Source organism: Homo sapiens, chromosome 14 (assembly GCF_000001405.40).
Source record: "Homo sapiens chromosome 14, GRCh38.p14 Primary Assembly".
NCBI classification, from domain to species: Eukaryota; Metazoa; Chordata; class Mammalia; order Primates; family Hominidae; genus Homo; species Homo sapiens.
In genome coordinates this window covers 87,633,681-87,655,682 of record NC_000014.9, presented here as the reverse complement: position 1 = coordinate 87,655,682, position 22,002 = coordinate 87,633,681, and the positions used below count along the sequence as shown (strand labels likewise).

The window sequence follows — 22,002 nt, the reverse complement described above, 5'->3', positions numbered from 1 at the left end:
CTGAATCAAAGTAAGTGGGTCATAATATGTTTATTTAAAGAATCTTCCTAGCTAGATGCCATTCTCTCCATCCTCTCTCCCTTTTTCTTTCTCCCTACTTACCTCCCACTTCTCCTGTATTAGCTTTGGGATTTTTAAAAATTCCTAACAAAGAACTTAATCCTGGCTAACTTAAGCAGAAGGGTGTTTATTGGAAGGTTTTCGAGCGCTCGAAATTAAGAAAATAGAGAAGGTGAGTTAGGAATGAGACAGGAATCAGTCCTGATTTAAAGTCTCTGTTGGGGCAGCTCCATCAAGAACACTCAAAGTGGTAAGATTCCGGCTAGGAAGTCATAGAACTATCACTCATTTTCATGCCTGCATTATTTGGTCAACAGAAACCGGTAGCAAATGCAGCAATAGGTTTAGTGAGGATGGATGACTGCCAACTTCTTTCCATTTTCTTACTGGACATTCAATCAGATTATGCCCCAGTCTCCCATGCAAATAGATGCAACCATGTAACAGAGTTGTGGCCAACGGAATGGGCAGAAGTAACATGGGCCCTGCCAGGTGGGTAATAGAAAACCTTCTCATGGGCAGCTTACCGTTCTCTTTCTCCAATCTGCCAGTGACATCATGAGGATTCTGAGGATATAGAATGTAGCTTTTTCTAGCTGTCAATCTTTTATTTGTGTTTTCTTAAATTTCCAATCCACTAGGAAGCCACATGTGCTGGGTGAGTTTGACCACAACCAAAATGGTCTATACTCTGTTGAGTGAGAAAAATCCACTCACCATGAACTTTGAATATTGTAGCAATGGCCAGTTTCTAAAGTTTCCATATGCTCTCCCTCAATTTCCGTATTTCCCTCATTGAGACCATTCATAAGCGGCTCCTGGGCTAATCCAAGCCATGGACTGGCACTGGCCTGTGAATGAAAGTTTGCATGGCACTAATCTGGAGAAGAAGTGGTGCCATGTTGGAAGGAACCTTGTCCTTGAGCCACCCCTTGGAGTGGAGCTGCTCAGGAAAACCAACAAACCAGAGACACCTGAGTTGTCACTTTCATAAACAACAACAACAAAAAATCTATATTTTATTTAACTTCTGGAATTAGGGGGTCAGTTGACAGAACCTAATAATGCAGATTACAGGTACAGTGCTTACCCTCTTCTTGCCAGAAAGCAGTCAGTCTCCTGCGTGGGCATTAACGGGAAGCAGGAACACACTGGATAAAAATAAGAGGAAAACCCCAAATCAGAGCTTGAAAATAGAGGTAAAAATGACATACTATTTTTTCATAGCACATTTTTTTCCTAATTACCAAAATGATGTACATAGTCACCCTCACTTTTGGCAATGTCTCTAATGCCTCCAGAATGGATGGCTTAAGATGTAAAGTGGCCTTTGACTCTAGTGATGCCTCTGTGTCGTACATTATAGTCAATTGCACATCTCTCTCTCTCTCTCACACACACACACACACATACACACACACACACACACAGGTAGAAAACTATTTGAGGGTAGGAATAAAAAGGTGCTTTTGTCTTCTCTCCAGTGCGAAGGGCACGAGCATACAGCTGAAGCTCCAGATGGTTTTACTGAATCACTTGATAAATATGAACATCCTTATTTTGGTAGCCATGCGGCTACATTATCTCAATTTTGCCATCCCTTTAGCCCCCACCTGCACAGCTGCAGGACCTCAAGGACCCCCTCCTCAGCTTCCCTCTTCCACCCACCCACCAGCTGCCAAAATTCCCAGGAGTTCCTTGTCACGCAGTTCTCTGGATGGCCTTGGACTGGTCCTGTTCCCTCTTCAATCTTGCTTGTAGTTCTCAGGAATAACTATAGATTGTGCTGAGAATGCAACAGCCTGAGATAGGCAGGAACTAACCAGAACAGCTCAGGGTCTGCTCCATTTCTCCCTAGAAATAGGATGCTCTTTGGTGCTTTAGCCCAGCCTGTCATGTTGTCCCTGGGATGTATAACCCAGTGCAGGCTACATTCTGAGGTCCTTCAGCTGCAGTGTAAGTGAAGTACATGCAGATGAGGAGATTCCCTTCACCCCAGGCCAATTTCCTGAGCCTTGGGGGGCCAACTTGCAATGAGTTCTAGGCTTCTGTTGTCCTTTGTCTATTGTTCCCATATGTAAATCATATATCCATTTCATGTAACTTGTGCTTAAGTGGGGCCTGTCTCAGCAGACTGACACAAGCTGGTAACCAGTGCACAGTGAACCTGCTTCACACTTCTCATCTATGCTCAGGAAATATTCACTTAATCTTTTCATCCCTAATCTGATTTTGAGGTTTACATGGGCATTTGAGCCAGCCATGTCTCTCATATAATCCTACTCCCTGGGATGCCAGCATATCGCCACTGTCCAGAAGGTATTGCATTTACCCTCTGGTCACCAGCCTGGGCATCAGGGAGGCTCCACTGGAAGATAATGGCCTTCTCTCCACCACTTTGTGACAAACCCATAGGCATTGGAGTCAAGCACAATTAGGTCCAAAACTCAAATCTGCCACTTTGTGATTTTGGATAAGTCACCATATCTCTAAACCTATATTTAACCAGCTATTAAAAAAATGGGTGAATGGGAGCCCTGAAGTGATAGTATATGTTTCAGAATTCAATGAGAAAATATACATAAAGCCTCCAGAAGGATAATTAGTCCATTTAGTAAGCATTCAATAAATATTAGCCACCAGAATTATTATCAGAACAACTATTGATGTCAGTGGAGTTATTGTAAACAATTATTGATGTCATCCCAGATGACTATTTCCTCTTCTGTTCTATACTACTGAGTTCTCAGTCCTAGACCCAGGTTTCTCTTAATCCTGTGATAGCAAGATTTTAAATAAGCACTTCAGTCCCTTTCTATAGTCACTGACTCTTTATGGTGGCATTTGTACCACTTGCACATGGGACTCTGTGTTGACTGAGGTATGGGCGTAGAAGAGGAAACTTGTTACTCCTTTTTTTTGTATATTTATTTGTCTGACTACCTAAACACTGGCATTTATTTTGTTTTTTTTATGTAAAGGTACAAACCATGCTCCTGCTACTACTTAAGACATGTGCATGAAGAAAATATTTATTTTTTCTGAACATCTAAGCCAGCCAAACACGCTTTCTGGTGATAAATTGTGCCCCAGTGGCTTTTTCTGATGAAAAGGCTCATGGCTTATAGTGAAAGGCTGTAGCTGCCCATATTGCAGTTATTACCATATAAATGCTTATCTCTGTCATGGATGTGCATAATCATGAAATATGCTACCTTCCAAGTAGAAATGTGCAACAGATTGTTTTGCAGAACGTTATAGCATCTTATAGTATTGCAATATTTATGGTTGAATTTTCTTTTTCAGTATAAGCAGGTATAATAATTTCCTCCTAATATGTCAGTATGAACTTTCTTAGACTTGACTAAAGACCAGAAATAGATGATTTTGCTGGCACATGTGGACAACCTTAGCAATCCCCCCAGTATTGATATAATTTATGTATTACACTTTAAATATCCTATCTATTCTGAGACATAAAATAGTTTGAATATTTTTGACTGAATTAACTAATCAACTGATTAACAATTTGAGGACTTACTTTTGAAATCCAGATTTTTGAAATCTAAAGAGGTACTAACATGCATCTTGCTTTCAAATTCAATAACCTAAATGGCATCAGCCTGGAAATTGTGGGTGGCGTGGTGTCTCATCTCTGATATAGGCAACATTATCGTGGGTCTTTATTGTTTACCATTGTATCTTCAGGGCCTGCGACTTATCGATTAATCATTTATTGAAAGGATTCACAGCTTAGTAAACATTTGTGAATTGCACTCTATTTATATTTGGAGACTCTCCTTTCCCCTTTGTGATCACCAACATGAGCCTGTGAGCTTGAATGTCCTTGCCAAGGACCACTGTGCCTTTTCCCCCATCTTTTACTCATCTATTCCCACCTACTTGTTTGTAGCAAGCACACTCACAGTAGTACCTGTGCCATGGATATTTGCAATTAACAAGGAGCAGAAACCTTAAAATGAAAGGATAGCAATCTGACTGGTAAACTTTCAGGCAGAATGATGATTTTGGACATCTGCTTCTTCCCTTAGAGCCCCGGTACCACACTCATTTGTGGTCACCAAGTCTCATCTGCCTAATATTGCTCTGTTGTACTTAAAAAAGAGCTGGACTCAATTGTGCAAATGCACTACTGTTTTTAAATAACTATTTCCAGTTACAAACAAAATAGGGTGTTTTAATATTTTGAATACAAGGGCCAACTTGTGTACCTTCATGTACAACTTCTTTTACATATTTGACTCTTGATTGCTTCTTAATGTGGTATCTCATTTCCACCAGCAGTATTAGTCAGTGTTAATATTTGGACCAGCATGCTGCATAATCTAGTTCTCTGAAAGATGCTGCTAATAGTTGAACCCAAACAAACAAACCACATCATTTTATTTAATACTTACATTAATTTATTTCAAATATAGGTATATATTTTTAAGTAAAATATACCGGATTTAGATTCTGCCAAGAGTAACACAGATTCCAAGAACAATGGCTTAAACAGAAATTTGTTTCTCTATTACATAAAAGAAGCCTATAGGTGGAATTCCAGTGCTGCTATAGTAACTCTATGAAATCACCTATGATCCAGCTTACTTTTCCACCTAGCATGGAGATTCAATACTCATGGTCCCAGATGGCCGCTGAATATCCAGCCATCAAAATCTTATTTCATACTGCAGAATGAAGGGAAGAAGAAGGGTATTGTATTAGTCCATTTTCACACTGCTGTAAAGAACTACCGGAGAATGGGTAATTTATAAAGAAAAGAGATTTAATTGACTCACAGTTATGCATGGCTGGAGAGGCCTCAGGAAATTTACAATCACAGCAGAAGGCAAAGGGGAAGCAAGGCACGTCTTACATGGTGGCAGGAGAGAGAGAGGGGGGAGAAGTGCCACACTTTTAAATCATCACATCTCGTGAGAACTCACTCACTATCGTGAGAACAGCAAGAGGGAAGTCTGCCCCCATGGTCTAATCACCTCCCATCAGGTCCCTCCCCTGACAGATGAGGATTACAATCCCACATGAGATTTGGGTGGAGACACGGATCCAAACCATATCATTTCACCCCCGGTCTCTCCCAAAACTCATGGTCTTCCCACTTTTCAAAACTTGATCATACCTTCCCAACAGTCCCCCAAAGTCTTAACTCATTCCAGCATTAACCCCAAAGTCCAAGTGCAAAGTCGCATCTGAGACAAGGCAGATCCCTACCACCCATGAGCCTGTAAAATCAAAAGCAAGTAAATTACTTTCAAGATACAATGGGGCTACAGGCATTGGGTAAATGCTTCCATTCCAAATGGGAGAAATTGGACGAAACGAAGGGGATATAGGCCCCATGCAAGTCAGAAAGCCAGCAGGGCAGTTATTAAATCTTAAGACTCCAAAATAATCTCCTTTGACTTCATGTCTCAAATCCAGGACACGCTGAAGCAAGAGTTAGGCTCCCAAGGCCTTGGAAATCTCCACTCCTGTGGCTCTGCAGGGTTCAGGCCCTGTGGCTGCTTTCACAGTCTGGAGTTGAACGACTGTGGCTTTTGCAGGCACACAATGCAATCTGTCAGCAGATCTATCATTCTGGGGTCTGGAGGACAATGGCTGTCTTCTCACAGCTCCAATAGGCAGTGCCCCAGTGTGAACTCTGTGCGGCAGCTCCAACCCCACATTTCCCCTCTACACTGACTTCGTAGAGGTTCTCCATGAGGGCTCCGCTCATGCAACAGACTTCTGCCTGGACATCCAGGTGTTCCCGTACATCCTCTGAAATCTAGGCAAAGGCTCCAAACTCTTGCCTTCTGTGCACCTGCAGGCCTAACACCACGTAGAAGCCACAAAGGCTTGGGGCTTGTACCCTTTGAAGCAGTGGCCTGAACTGTACCTTGGCCCCTTTTAGCCAGAGCAGGAACTGGAGCTTCTGGGACACAGGGCACCACTTCAGGAGGCTGTACAGAGCAGAGGGCCCTGGGCCTGGCCCAGGAAACCAATTTTTCCCTCCTAGGCCTCTGGGCCTGTTACAAGAGGGGCTGGTGCCAAGTTCTCTGACGTGCCCTAGAGACATTTTTCCATTGTTACATCTGTTAACATTTGGCTCCTCTTTACTTGTGCAAATTTATGCAGCCTTGAATTTCTCCCCAGAAAATGGATTTTTCTTTTCTACCACATGTTCAGGCTGTAAATTTTCCAAACTTTTATGCTCTGCTACCCTTTTAAACATAAGTTCTAATTTTGGACCATCTCTTTGTGAACTTACATGACTGTACACTTTTGGAAACAGCCAGGTCACATCTTCAATGCTTTGCTGCTTAGAAATTTCTTCTGCTAGATACCCTAAATCATCTCTTTCATGTTCAAAGCTCCACAGATCTCTAGGGCAGGGGCAAAATGGCACTAGTCTCTTTGCTAAAGCATAGCAAGAGTGACTTGCTATTGGAACTATTCCCATTAAGTTCCTCATCTCTATCTGAGACCACCTCAGCCTGGACTTCATTGTCCACATGACTATCAGCATTCTGGTTACAACCATTCAACAGGTCTCTAAGAAGTTCTAAACATTCCCTCATCTTCCTCTCTTATTCTGAGGCCTCTAAACTGTTCCAACCTCTGCCCATTACCCAGTTCCAAATTTGCTTCCACATTTTCAGGTATAGCAGTTCCCCACTCTCCTGGTACCAATTTTATGTATTAGTTCATTTTCACATCGCTATAAATAACTACATGAGACTGGGTAATTTATAAAAAAGAGGTTTAATGGATTTACAGTTCTTCAGGGCTGGGAAAGCCTTAGGAAACTTACAATCATGGCAGAAGGCAATGGGGAAACAAGGCATGTCTTACAGGGTAGCAGGAGAGAGAGAAGGGGGAAGTGCCACATTTTAAACCATTGAATCTCGTGAGAACTCACTCACTGTCATGAGAACAGGACGGGGGAAATCTCCCTGTGATCCAGTCACCTCCCACCAGGTTGCTCCCCTGACACATGGGGATTAAAATTCCACATGAGATTTAGATGGGGAGACAGAGCCAAACCATATCAAGTATATACTCTCACTAAAAAGTGCTTCTAGAATATCTCAACATTATTTACACTTAAGTTTCACTGGTCAGAACTTAGTCACATAGCCACATTTCACTTCAGATAAGTCTGGTAAAAGCAGTTTTTAGCTGTGCAGCAATGTTCTCAACTACAAATACAGATTGCACCACAAAAAGGGAATCACTATCCGATAATGTGTTCATTTTCTCTTGCTCTACAACATATCATCACCAACTTAGTGGCCTAAACCAATTATCCATTTATTATCTCATGGCTTCTATGAGTCAGAAGTCTGGGAATACTTGAGTTCGGTTTTCTGCCCAGTTTCTCACAAGGCTGAAATGAAGGTGTCAACTGGGTTTCAAACTCATCTGAAGTCTCAACTAGGAAAGGACCTACTTCCAAGATCTTTCAGGTTGCTGGCAAAATGTATTTGCCTGGGGTTATAGAGTTCATAACCTCTTGCTTCTTCAAGCTAGCGACAGAGAAAGTGTCTGTCTCTGCTACTTTGAATCTTTAACTTCAGGGAAGGTGTGGACCCGCTTTTAAAGGGATCACCTAATTATGTCAGGCCCATTCAGAATAATCTCCTTTTTTATTAACTCAAAATTGACTGATTGTGCACCTAATGGCTTCTTCAAAGTCCCTTCACTCTTGTCAGATTGGTTAGAAGCAAGTCACAGGTTCCATCAACACTCAAGGGCATGGGATTATACATAGAGTGACTCATTGGGGACCACCCTGGGGTGTTTACTTTAGGGATATGATTGGCAATATTTACCCCACACAATATATGATAGTTCTTTTTAAGCTACAATCATCCATTAAAGAATGATGTGTCAGATCCAAAAAAAGAGTTGCCTGAGAAATTATCTGATGGATTTATGCAAGATATTTAAGCTACTCAATGCTGCCTAAGCAAAATTTAGCTGCTACTGGTTAAGCTGATGGATGCCATCTATTCAAGGTAGTTGTTTGTCTTATAATTTCAACATATGCTTGTGATATGGCTTGGCTATGTCCCCACCCAAATCTCATCTTGAATTGTAGCTCCCATAATTCCCACGTCATGGGAGGGACCCGGTGCGAGGTAATTGAATCATGGGGGCAGATTTTTCCTGTGCTGTTCTCATGATAATGAGTAAGTCTCATGAACTTTGATGGATTTATAAAGGCGAGTTCCCCTACACATACTCTTCTGCCTGCTGCCACATAAGACATGACTTTGCTTCTCCTTTGCTTTCTTCCATGATTGTGAGGCCTCCTCAGCCATGTGGAACTGTGAGTCAATTAAACCTCTTTCCTAATCCCAGCACTTTGGGAGGCCGAGGCAGACAGATGATGAGGTCAGCAGTTTGAGACCAGCCTGGCCAACATGGTGAAACCCTGTCTCTACTAAAATACAAAAATTAGCCGGGCAAGGTGGTGCATGCCTATGATCCCAGTTACTCAGGAGGCTGAGGCAGGAGAATCACTTGAACCTAGGAGGCAGAGGTTGCAGTGAGCCGAGATTGCACCACTGCACTCCAACCTGGGCAATAGAGTGAGACTCCATCTCAAAACAAAACAAAACAAAACAAAACAAAACATCTTTCCTTTATAAATTACCCAGTTTTGGGTATGTCTTTATTAGCAGTGTGAGAACAGAATAATACAGTTTGTATTATCTTATAAAGTAATTTAATTTCTATTTTTAAATTTCACACTATCAGAAATTAAAAATAATTTCTGCTATTCACTGTAAGTGCACATTGTACTTGATAAGCACCAGTTCATCATTGTGTCAAAAATTGTAACTAAAAATTCTCAATGTCAAAAGAATTTGAGAAATGCTAACCTTGAAAAATACCAATGGGTTTTTTGAATAGCGGTGAGAGTGGCTAGGAGTTTAACTCTTTGCATCAAATGCAGTATCTCAATAGCGCTTTCACTTGAAGATGATTATTTAATAAGATTGCCAAGTCTGCAGCAATAAGACTGTCATCAAAAGGAAGCAGTGATATACTGCAGAAAATACTTAACACTTAGGTATCCACAGGTCTCCTGGCTCGTGTCTATATCCAATAAGAAGAGTAATAAGAAGAAAAAAGTACCTGGTCTGTGAACAGATATTAAAAAGTTCGGATATTAACGTTCATGCATTTACTTGATTTAGGGACTGTCTTGGAAGCCTTCCCATTTGCTTTGTAATTCTATTAGTCTTAGTTATCTGGCTCCTTAGTCTTTATATGAGAAGAGAAATAAATGAACAAGCAGAGATTGAGACCCCAGGAGTGCCAAGAAGTGGCCTTCTTAGGGAAAGACAGAACAAACACAAAACAGAACTAGTTCAAAATTTTGTGTGTGGAATGGTGAGACCATTTATTTCAGGGGCATGACACCATGTGTCACTACATCATCTTTATAAACTGAACCATTCACAGGTAATCATAATCATAAGCTCAGGTTATAAAGTGTATTGAATGCCTTTTACAAAGTTTCCAAAGATGAATGATTCTTATTTAAAAAAATTTTTTTTCTCACAACATTACAATGAACTGATGGCTCTAAATGTATGAAAAAGGAGCTGAAATGTAGTAAGTCCTCAGTGATGTTAGTTGTTATTATCTATAACTGTTTATCACCTATAATTAGTTATTATTTGTAACTATAACACATGTTGTGATTGTCATTTGTCTTAGTCTGTTTTGTGCGGTTATCACAGAATACCATAGCCTGGGTCATTTATAAAAGAACAGAAATTTATTTCTCACAGCTCTGGAGGCTGGAAAGTCCAAGATCAAGGCACTGTCATCTGGAGTCCTCACTTCTGGGTATATGTGCACAAAAAATAACATAAACATTTTGAAGAGATATCTGCACCCTCATCTTCCTTGCAGTATTATTCACAGTAGTGAAGATACAGAAACAAACTGTTCATTGACAGATGAGTGGACTAAAAAATGTGGTATATGTATGTGTGTGTGTAAAGATATATATATGAATATTATTCTTATAAGAAGAAGGAGATCTTACCATTTGTGACAACATGGATGAGCCTGCAGGACATTATACAAGTGAAATAAGCTAGACACAGAGAGAAAAATACAGTATGATATCACTTATATGTGGAATCTAAAAACGTCAAACTTTAGAAGCAGAGAGGAGAGTGGTGTCTGCCAGGGACTGGGATGTGGGGAAAAATAGGGAGATACTGGAAGATAAATAAGTTCTGGGTATCTAAAGTACATCATGATGACTCTAGTTGATAATACTGCATTGTTTACTTGAAATTCTATAGCAGATTTTAAGTGTCCTCACTATACACACATACACACATACAGAGTATACCTATGGATGGTGGTGGATATTAATTAATTTGACTGTGATAATCAGGATACAATGCATATGTAATCAAATCATCACATTGTTCACCTGGGATATGTTCGATTTTATTTGTTAATTAAACTTTTTTAAAAAAAGAAATACATTAAAAATGTCTTATAGATGTCTGTACATGGTATAAAACCACTCTAACTTTAAGAGCCTTATGCGATCTGATCACTAAAGTTGCTTGGTGACTGAACACTTACTTTTCTAGTTATGGCACAGTTCCATGCGCCAACAAACAATTCAACAAATAAATGTGCAAGGACAATAGGTTGCCATGGAACCAGTATTACAATGCCCAAAGTCATCTAGCTCTATGACAGTGATGCATTAATGAGATGTTTCAGCAGTTAGTGTGCTCTGGAAAAGTGTGTGCCTGCAAGGCTATGTATGTTCCCCTCTTAACACTTAACATAAGAATCTCATTTTGAGGTAGTTAGTTTGTACATCATCATGCGAGATAAAATATAGATGGATATTTTCATAAAGCATCTTTTTTTTAAAAAAAAAGCAGATACTGCAAATGCATCACTTTATTGTTCTTGTTATATATCCTGTGGGTGTAAGAATAATGGTTCCATTAGAATTTTATGTATCTCCTGAACCAGGGAATGGTCAATTATTGGCAACAATCACATTCCCCACACCTCCCTAATGGCTAGTGGCCCACACTGTAAATTAAGTACAAGACATAGAGCAAGCAGAAAACATGGACCCCTGCTTTGGCTAATTTAAAAGGTGTTTCATAACATTAACCCTGCATGAAGAAATTTCTGTCAGTTGCCACGGTACCATAGGAATATGTGTAGAGTATGGATGTCAGATTTGGGTGCTGCATTTTGAGACTGTCATTAACTATCTGGATGGTTACCAGGATAATGAAGGATGTGGAAACCACACTTGAATGGTTGAGTGATTGGTTGGAGGATATGGGATGATTTCGCTCAGGTAAAGGAAAATTTGGGGAAGACATCACAGCTGCCTTCATATATTTGAAAGCCTGTGAAGGAAAGCTGACAAATTCTGCTTTAAGTGGTCATAATTTGAACCACAGTTAGAAATTACAGGTTAGAAATCAGGCTCCATATAAGAAGGAGCTTTAAAATAATTAGAGCTATCCACCAAAGCAATGGTCTACTCTGTGAAGAAGTAAATGTGTACTCTTTAACGTTATCATTTCTTTGGAAATGTTCAAACAAACCCTGATGAATGTGATTGTGGATAGGTTTATTATATAGCAGGGGGAGTTAGACTAGATGATATTTTGGGTTCCTTTTATCTTACGATTTACCTGACTTTCCCTCTTTCCCTCATGCCTCTGCTGTTTTGCTTTTGCACGTTATCCTCAAATAGAAAGAATCTTCAGCAAAGAAGCAGAGAGACTGACAATAATATTTCATTCGTTCCACAGCCATACCTGTGTACCTTACATGTGCAAGCCACCCCTATGTGGGAGAAATTCATGGAGACTGTGGGTGCTTGTTTTTATAGGTTGGTTCTTCACCATTATCCTGTAATATCAATGAAAGAATAAATTAAGATCATACTAAATGGTCTCTTGGAGTTGATCAGACCAAGGAGGCTTTTGCTTCCTGTCATGTACTTCAGACCGACTGCTAGATGTGGCCTCATGCCACCTGTTCTGTCTTTTGACCCTCACTTAGCTTCAGCTCAGTGCACCTGGTCGATAGCATAGTCTACACAATCTTAAAAAAAATTGCTGTTGCAAAGCATTTCAGAATGCATCCTTTTAGTTCGGTAGCCTAGTTTCAAACTTTTTGGAGTTTTAAGTTAAGATATATTTCCCCTAGAAAAGTTGATTGCAGAGTGCTGGTGAGCTCCCATAATTGAAAGTGTCAGGGGTCACTTGTGAAAGGAGGTAGAGCCGGCAGCTCTGCTCTGACAACTGAGTAGATTTGCTGTTTAGTAACTGCATCTTCACATTTGGTGAAATCTCCATCTCTGGCCTTGGGCCAAGTACTCTGTGAGTACTCACTGAATGTGAGTTGGCAGAAATGATTTGTTCAGAGGCTATCTCCACGTAGCCCGTTCAGATTCACTCACACTTAATTGGCTTGGCAATTTTTCTATTTAGGCTTAATAGAGGCTTTCTCCAGGACGGCATGGCAATGAGGGGTTGGGATTGTACTATGTCAAACTGTGTGTTCCAGCTTTTGACTAGCTATTGGAAATTGCAAGAATTTCTGGGAACATCATAAATGTGTTCTACAAAGTTTCTTAAATTCATTTCAACTTTGAAAAGACAATGTAAGTTACGTAGAACATTTTTGGAGTTTCAGGAACTACAAAATATTAGGAGAATTAGACAATATCTGCTTAGGTTTGGGGAAAAATGGATATTTGAGAAGTTATGAAGACTAACATATTAGACAAAATAATGCTTTGATAAAAACAGTAGTAGTGCCATACTTTCACTACTCCTTTTGAATTGAAGGAAAAAAATAGAAGAAACAGGCTGATGTATCCTGTGTTTGGTGATTCTGCTGGCAGAAGTAGTGAGGAAAAAGACTGAATTTGCTTTTAACCAACTACATATCCCAGGAATGTGTAGTTATGGCATAGAGATAACATGCTGAAAGTGTTCTTAATATTTGTCAAAAAGAAGGGAGTGTGGAAGAGGAAAAGCTCTCCAGCCCTGGGTTATTGGGACTTAGGTTGCATTTCTGACCCCAGTAGGGTGTTCTTTGTCCCTTAGACCTGCCAGACTCTGTCTTTGTGGGTTGACTACAGGCAGCACTTTGCTCTTGTTCTCCAAACCAAAGTCAGCTATGTCAATCTCATTTCATTTTCAGCTTTGTGTGAAGCCATTCTCTTCAATATTTTTGACACACAGTCTTAGATCAGATCCATATGCTTATTAATTCCAAGAGAAATCCAGTGGAAATCCGACCTGGGCAATTTATGACTCCTCAAACCCTGGAAAGATTATGAAAATCTTTTAATAATAAAATACAATATGCAGTTATTCCAGAAATTTTTGCTCACTTATCTTCATAACCATAAATTATTTCATACCTAATTACAAACAGGCAGACTGAATAATTGTCTTCATTGAGGGATGTTTGACACTGAGAAAATATAGCCTTATTTTGTAAACCTTTTAATGTTCAGACTATAAATATGTCACAGCTAAGGAGTACTGCATCTTTAAGTGTATTAAAGCCACTCTTGTGTAACCAAATATAATGGGATTTTTAAATGAATTATAACTAAAGTGCTTAACAAACAACTTTTTAAACTTTCAACATGTGTAAAGCTATTTGAAACTGTCCATTTTGTATTAAATGTCCAAAGTATATTCTTAGCCATTTGGCAAAAAGTTTGTATTGGTGGAGGCTTTGTCAAGATATAGATTTAATAGAAATTAAATTATTTGATGGAAAATTTAATAGTTGTTCTCCCCTCATATGCATAAGCTATCACATCAGTGAGGTGTCAGAGCTCTGTTTGTGTTTGTGTTTGGGAGAGTTTTGGAACAAAAGCCATGCATATGCATTTAATGTAATAAGAGGATTGTCCATCTGTATTCTGGTGCCTTGGAATGAAGTAATGAAGTTGTTAAAAACACAAGCCCTTTCCTTTTCAATTCACACCACAGAATGGCTGTCTGGACCTTGGAAAGTAAGAGTCTGAATCTTTATCTAGTCAGTCAGTCATTCATTGCCCTGTGTATGTTATTTCAGAATTCTTATGACAGATTGTAATAGCCAGTTTATATAAATCTTCAGTTGACATCAAGATTGGTTCTTAAACTCTAGAAGAGCAAGGACTCTGTTTTGATCACCACTGTATTCTGGAAAATAGTAATTAAATGAACATGTTTTGAATGAATGAATGAATGAATGAATGCATACACATTTATTGAAGTGTTGCTTGTTGGAATTTGGAAATATAAGGACAAGCAAAAAGCCCCTGCCGTCAAGGACCCTACTCTTCAAAATAGAGAATGATTCCATCAGCTTGTGAATCTGGAGAGCTTCAAAGAGAAATGTAGTGAATCCAAGCACCATCTGCTGTTTTGCTTTGGTGTTTAACCGGCAGCGACTTTGTGCAAGATGTACTGCCAGAGCATCTGGATACAGCATTCTAGGCCTGACGGTTATAAAGGTGTGTTGACCTGCCTTGGGCCCAATTTAATCATGGGCAGAAGGACCCTACACTCCTAAATTTATGAGAAACTGCTGCATTGTAAAGTCCTTTTGATAGCAGAAAAAGGGGTGCCACCTTCATCTGAAAGAGATGTGTTGGCCATGTCCATCAAAACCCATTGAGGTGACACAGTCTGTGCAGTGGCATGAGGAATAATGTGAATGACCCTACTAGGGAATCACTTTGCAGTATTTGAGCCCTGCTCTCAGAATAGAATGTTTTCTATTGAATTCATTGCAACACCAGTAGCCCAAAGTCCAAGGTGTGTATATTCAAGGCCTAGACTGGGGCCTTTGTTACAATCTCCATGGATTCTGGGTCAGGGAGGAACAAGTTATTGAGCTTGGGCAGTGCACAAATCTCAGCTGTGATTCCAGTGAGCTAAGAAAAAGTCAAGCCTAAAATAAATTATTGAATCTTATATCCTTAAGCACAATTCTATTCCAACAATAAGAAATAACCTACTACATGAAGCAAAACCTTCTTTACCACTAGGAACTGATTACAACAATTTGAAAAGACAAAAAAATCTTCCTTTCTTTCTGCACCTTCTCTGATGATATATTCTAAATTCAGAGTATAAGCGTGGGGACCTAGTTAATATTTTTATTTGATAAATAACAAACATCTCAGGCAATGGGGGAAATTCTAGCCAAAGGAAGAGCAAAGGATTTAAGTGGTCTTCCCTTGTTCCCCCACTGCTTGTTGTTAAAAAAAAAAAAAAAAGAAAAAAAGATCTTTCTCCTTGTCCAATGGTGTTTTCTTCTTATCAGAACATCAGGAAATATAAAACTGAGGTTGACTGGGGTTCATGCTTTTCACTTCATCTTTCTGGTATCACTTCTATGAATGTAGTTATTCTGGGAATAAAATTCATCCTTTGGCCTAGATGATGGTGAGAGAGAATGCCCCCCTCCAGCTATTTGAGATTGTGGGTTGTTATCATGGATTAAAGAAAGATTACAAAACAGAACAGAGCAAAACAAGCAGGGCAGGTGGTACTGGATGGGATGGTCATCTGCTGGGTTATTTCAAAGGAGGGCTCCATAGGGATATTTCATAATACAGGGGAGTTTTGCTTAAAAATATGTACTCTCCTTTTTCTCCCATCATCTTTGCCCTCTTGTCTCATCAACTCATTTCCAATAAAGTTGATCGTCTGATACTGCTATGCTTCAAAAAAGAGACCTCTGTGGACTTCTCTTTTTGCTTTATTTATGATAGCAAGAGCCAAAGCACACAGGGCCTGTTGAGTGTATCAATGAGAGAAGTCAAAGAGAGTTTGTTTTATGCCAGGAAGAATCTGAAAGTCTTTATTGATTTTACTTTTTAAATTTAAGAACTAAATATTTTCCTCTTTCTAAAACTCAATGGATAAAGAGTGATGTGACTAAAGTCCCATGGGTCATCAAAGGAGGTCACACCTAAAGAATGTTTCACATCAGCTGTTATCATTTCTGTATGCGTGTACACACATACCACTCAGAGGATGGGGCACACATATCATAATAGCAAAAGTCCCATAATAATTCTGAAGCCTTGGGGAGGCCACAGAAAGTTCCTATTGGGTTGCATATTGGACTTGATCTCTCATAATTTAATGTCTGGCCTGGCAAGGTTAGGTGGAGATGACCTTGTGGAGCTGAACTCCTCAGATGGCCTCCATTGCTCTCTCAGAGCCCTGGGACGAAAGTCCCTTTTCTATGTGTGTGGTGTGGACGGCAAGTTACATGATCTTCTCTTTAAAATCCTCATCCCTATGAAATGGGAATCTCCTGCTTCTGTCTCTGGACCATAGAGCTGAACACTGAGTCAGCCAAGCAAACTTCCTTGATGTTACACAGGATAGTATAGGGTTTAGAGCATGGAGTCTAGATCCAGAGTGCTAGCTGCAAATACTGGCTTTGCCATTGACCAGCATCCAGCTGGGAGTAAGTTCTACTAACCTAGGAGCAGGGAAGGTTCTTCACCTGTAAGATGGGGGGATAATGGCAGGCTGTGCCTGAAACAAAGTAGTGCTGCAGGACTTATTGTTATTATTGACACTATTATTATTCACTCATTCATCCATTTCTGAATCCAGTACATATTCACTCAGTGCCAACTCTATACAAGACACTGTGTGCTAGGATCTAGGCTGTAGTGGTAAAAATCAATAAGCTTTTCCTTTCTTAGAGATTCTAATTTGGCATGCAGAGACAACGTGTAAAAAACATAGATATGTTATTAAGATAATTTTAGATTTAATAAGTGCTAGCGATAAGTGTGATAAGGAGATAAAGCAGGGTAACTAGAGAATACATGGTGGGGACTTCTTTGGATCAAGGTACTCAAAGATGCCCCCTCCCAGGATCAGAAGCAATTTTACCACAAAGAGAATGAACCATGGGCTTCAGGGACCTTCTTGTGCCCGCGCCCCTTCCAAGGCTGCAGATGTGTTTTTATGTGTAGCTGTGTGCTCTTTTTCATAAAAGATTCCCAAAGGTGCATAAGTTTCAGACCCCATAAAACCTGGACATGCCTCTGCTGATGCAGTAATAAGTGAGGAACCACTTAATGGTAAGTGGGGGCAGCACGTCCCAGAGGAAGTGCCTTCCAGGTAGCGGCAGCCAAGAGCTTCAAGCTGGAGGAATGTCAAGAGGCCAGTGTGGTGAGGGCCAAGTGAGCTTAGAGAGACAGACAGGTAGGGCCTTGCTAACTGAGTAAGCGAGCTCTTCAGGTTTGCTCTAGGTTGATGTTGTGGGTTGCATGTGTCTCCCCTCAAAAAGATGTGTTGAAGTCCTGAGGCTCAGAATCAGAATGTAATCTTATTTGGAAATAGCATCTTTATTGATATAATAGAGTTAAAATGACATCATTAGGGCGGGCCTAATAAAAAGGCGTGGTGTCCTTATGAAAAGGGGAGATTTGGCCACAGAGACAGACAACCATAGATAGAAGATGAACGAAGACACAGACACAATGCCATTTGAAGCTAGAGAAGTAGAAAGATTCCTCTATGAGCCGAGGAATGCCAAAAATTGCTAGCACACCACAGAAGCTAGAGGAGGCAGAGAGGGATTGCCCTGTGGGTTTCAGAGGGGCTGTGGCCCTGCCAACACCTTGATTCCAGACTTCTAGCCTCCAGAATTGTAAGACAATAAATTTTTGTCCTTTAAAACCACCCAGTTTGTGGAACTTTATGATAGTCCCTAGAAAACAAATACAGATGAAAAAGACATTGGAGGATTTTAAGTCTATGAGTGACAGGATTTACATTTACATAAGATGACATCTGCTTTGTAAAGAGTACATTGAAAGGAAGTGGAAGAAAATAAACCAGTCTAGGACTTGCAGGGATCCAGGTCTTAGGTGGTGATGGCAGGGACTCTGTGGTCATGGCTGTGGAAACAGAAAAAAGTAGATGGGCCTTATAAAGGTAGGGGTGAGAAAAAAAAGAAAAAGAAAAATGTCGATGATTCCCAGATGAATTTTTGACAATTGACTTGATGAGATTTGCCAGTGGGTTGGACATGGGAATAAGGATGACTGAATCCTTGAGATTTTCCATCCATCTTACCTAGTATGTGGTCTGTCTTCTAGCTGAGAAACATTCAAAGTGCCTCTGAAATCCTTACTCACCAATTTCATGGCACCATTTCACTTAATAATCTCTCTTGTTTATTAACTTTAATGGCATTGTATCATTTAGTTCCCATGCTACGAGGAAATCTGTTATGCCAGATGGTTCCACAAATAATGATCGTCATACTTACATGAGTTGTACATGAGTGCACTATTTATTTTTGCTGATTACTGGTGCAGTTTTGAACCCATTAAAGCCCTAAAGCTCTGCCAATAGACACCTAAATAAGGCCCTATAATCTTGAAGAAGAATTTAGTATGTGGTTGTTGAGCTACTAAACTCTCCCCAGCTACACTGCTGTTTCAGTCATTGAGAGTTTAACAGAGGAGAAAATCAGAATGTATTGATTTTCTCTTCTGCCCCTTGGAAGAGGCAATCCAAGTTGTTTTTATGATGTTTTGAAGCACACGTGACAGTGCCTTTTAAGGATTAGAGAAAATCCGAATCTGCTACATGAACGTAGAGCCAGCTTTCACTTGGGGTTTGGCTTGGAGCTAATGTAAAGCCATGTGTCAGGAACATGAGGCAGAGGGAAATTGGGACAGACTTTCTCTCTTTAGAAGCACGTGTGTGTGTGTGTGTGTGTGTGTGTGTGTGTGTGTTTTCATGTGCCAAGCATTCTGACCACAGGTCAGATTCAAGCACTGAATTTTCCATGCTGATTTCAAGGATTGTACTTCAGCTCTGTGAAACTTTTGGACATTTGCTCACAGCTCCTTTTTACAATTTTGTATGTAAAAAATATCACTAGAAATAACCCCTTATAGTTTTAAATTCCCCTAAAGCTACTGCCAGACATCTCTTCCTTTGTCCCTTTCCTTTTTTCCACTACCTTTTTTTTCTCTCTCTTCCTATTAATTTAGATCAGGAGGTCATATATTTTTGGGGTCATGGATATGAAAGATTACAGAAACTTGCCCAAGCAAAAATGTTTTAATGACGAACATATGTCAAGGGGCCATAAGGCACATTTAGTAAGAGTTTGTGGGCACAGACACGTTGTTGAAATAGAGCACTGGGGTGGGAGTGGCTGAATCTGGGATTTATTTCTGACTTTTACTACCTCTCTGACCCTCAGATTTTTTTATCTATGAAAGATGTGGATAATGATCATTGTAGTGAAGGTCTGATGAAACAATATATGTGAAAGGGCTTAACTGTTAAGTGCTAGATGCAAGTGAGGTATTGCTACTAGGGATGTCTAAAATAAAATACTATGCTGACTTGGGACAAATCTCAGGATTTATTGTGAAGTAAAACTAAGCAAAACAAAAAGCAATGTGTATGGTGTGATTTGCATTTATGTGAATTTTTATTTAAAAGAAAACCAGAAGTAACATGTGCATTTGTGTCCAGTGTATAGAAAAATGATGGGAAGAGCCAGGCACTGTGGCTCACACCTGTAATCCCAGTACTTTGAGAGGCTGAGGTGGGTGGATCACCTGAGGTCAGGAGTTCCACACTAGCCTGGCCAACATGGCGAAACCTTGTCTACTAAAAATACAAAAACTAGCTGGGTGTGGTGGCATGTGCCTGTAATTCCAGCTACTCGGGGGGCTGAGGCAGGAGAATCACTTGAACCAAGGAGGAGGAGGTTGCAATGAGCTGAGATTGAGCCACTGCACTCCAGCCTGGGTGACAGTGTGACTCTATCTCAAAAAGAAGAAAAAGGGATGGATGTGCTGCACAGATCTGTGGTGAGATCTCAGACAGGAGACACTGGTTATCTCTGTGGAAGGAACAAGCTGGAGCCAGCTAAGGGGATACTTTGCATATTGAACTCCCATATTGCATGACAGGGACGTTTTATGTCTTGTTGACCCTTGAACAGCATGGATTTGAACTGCATGGTTTCACTTATGTGTGGATTTTCTTCAGCTGCTGCTGCCCCCGAGACAGTAAGACCGACTCCTCCTCTTTCTCCTCCTCTTCATCCTACTCTATGTGAAGACAAGAATGAAGATCTTTGTGACGATCCACTTCCAGTGAATGATTAGTAAATATATTTTCTCTTTCTGATGATATTCTTAATAATATTTTCTTTTCTCTAGCTTACTTCATTGTAAGAATCAGTTTATCATACATATAATACACAAATATGTGTTAATTGACTGTTTATGTTATCACTGAGGCGCCTGGTCAACAGTAGGCTTTTAGTAAAGTTTTTGGGGATTGAAAAGTTATAATTGGATTTTCAACTGTGCAGGGGTTTGGCATCCTTAACTCCCGTGTTGTTCAAGCGTCAGCTGTATTACTGAATAAAATACAGATAAAATAAAACCAAATTAAGCCTTTTAAATTAAGAATGTAATCACTAAGAGACTGTGGTCAACAATGGAGGTCATGACAATAAAATTCTGCTTTTGTTATTTATCCAAGTTACATTTTTTCATTCATCTCCTCAGTCAGCAACAAATACTTCTTCAGTACTTTGTGTCAGTTCTGCAGTCTACTAGGCACTGATCCTCTCCCAAAAATACAATGGAATGGTTTCTTTGTAGCTGGCATCCTTTACAATGTTTAAATTCTTGGGACATCCTGGACTGTAAGGGAAACAAATATTTCCAATAGGATGAAGATAAAACTATATTTAAAGATAAAGAATTGTGGCATGTTTGGTTACCTACTCAATATTCATTTCACCTTCTTTCCTATAAAGAGGATCTTGATTGTGTTCAGACAGTAACACACCCAGAACCTCAGGTCATGATCATGAGATCCTGTTGTCTCTTTTGTTATTTCCCTTGTAGCTAAGAGTATCCACGTGACCTGGACCTGGGTGAGTGGGTCCTAGAAAAATTTTTGCTTTCTTGCTACTCTTCCTTCTTCTCACTGGAATGTAAATGTAAAGGGTGGAGCTGCAGCAGCCATCTTGCTATCACAAAAGAAAGACTGAGAGAACAGCAGAAGAGTTGACCTTAATGTTGTTGAACCACTGAATCAACGCTGTAAACAATCTATCTCCAAAATTCTTGGTATGTGAGAAACTAAACTACTGTTTATTTAAGTTGGGTTGTCTGTTAAGTGCAGCTGAATGTCTTCCTAATTGATACAGAAATGCATTTAAAAAATAGCATGCACACTTTTTAGTATGAGCTAAGAAAATGAGTAAGAACACAGCACATTGAACCCAATTTTGCATTTGCAATCCCCAAAGAACCCTGGTACACTTTTGTAGAATATTAATGTGAAACCTAAGTTTGGGGAATGTCTCTGATGAGAAGTTGGGAAACAGAAATAGATGAGACCTATCTATGGTGCAAAGATAAATTTTGGTTAGAAAGAAAAGAGCAAGAACATGCACAAAAATGTGTGGCAGAACCAGGCTGTGGGCAGGAACCAGAGGAGCTGTCTACTATGGTTGTATTTAATATGACTGCTGAGGACAAAGCTCTGATTTTTTTATCTGGCCCAAATTCCTATCTAAGGTGTCTGGAGAGTCATGCCTTACAAACCATACATTCTCATCAGATGGGTTTTATTTAACCCCATATATTGTGACTTTCCAATCTGACTCTGGCATAATATTATGTGACAAAAAAGAAAGTCAAAATATTTTACTCCAAAACATCTTTCTTTGTCTTATTTTGAAATGGCCCTGCAAATGTGTCCTTTGTGGGGGGAAATTTATACCTGTAAAGAATCTCTATTAACATAGCTATATCTTTTTCTTCCTGGCCCTCCCAATCCTAAAGAGATTGAGTAAGAGTCTAGCACCTTT

The 22,002-nt window shown here is 39.8% G+C and overlaps 1 long non-coding RNA gene across 1 annotated transcript; it reads left to right on the top strand.

Annotated features, from left to right (window-relative positions):
* Positions 1 to 388: 388 nt before the first annotated feature.
* Positions 389 to 21,304, top strand: LINC02330 (long intergenic non-protein coding RNA 2330). Its single transcript, NR_146551.1, has 3 exons — positions 389 to 552; positions 20,160 to 20,277; positions 21,032 to 21,304. It is a non-coding gene; the product is annotated as a long intergenic non-protein coding RNA 2330 (long non-coding RNA).
* Positions 21,305 to 22,002: the final 698 nt, after the last annotated feature.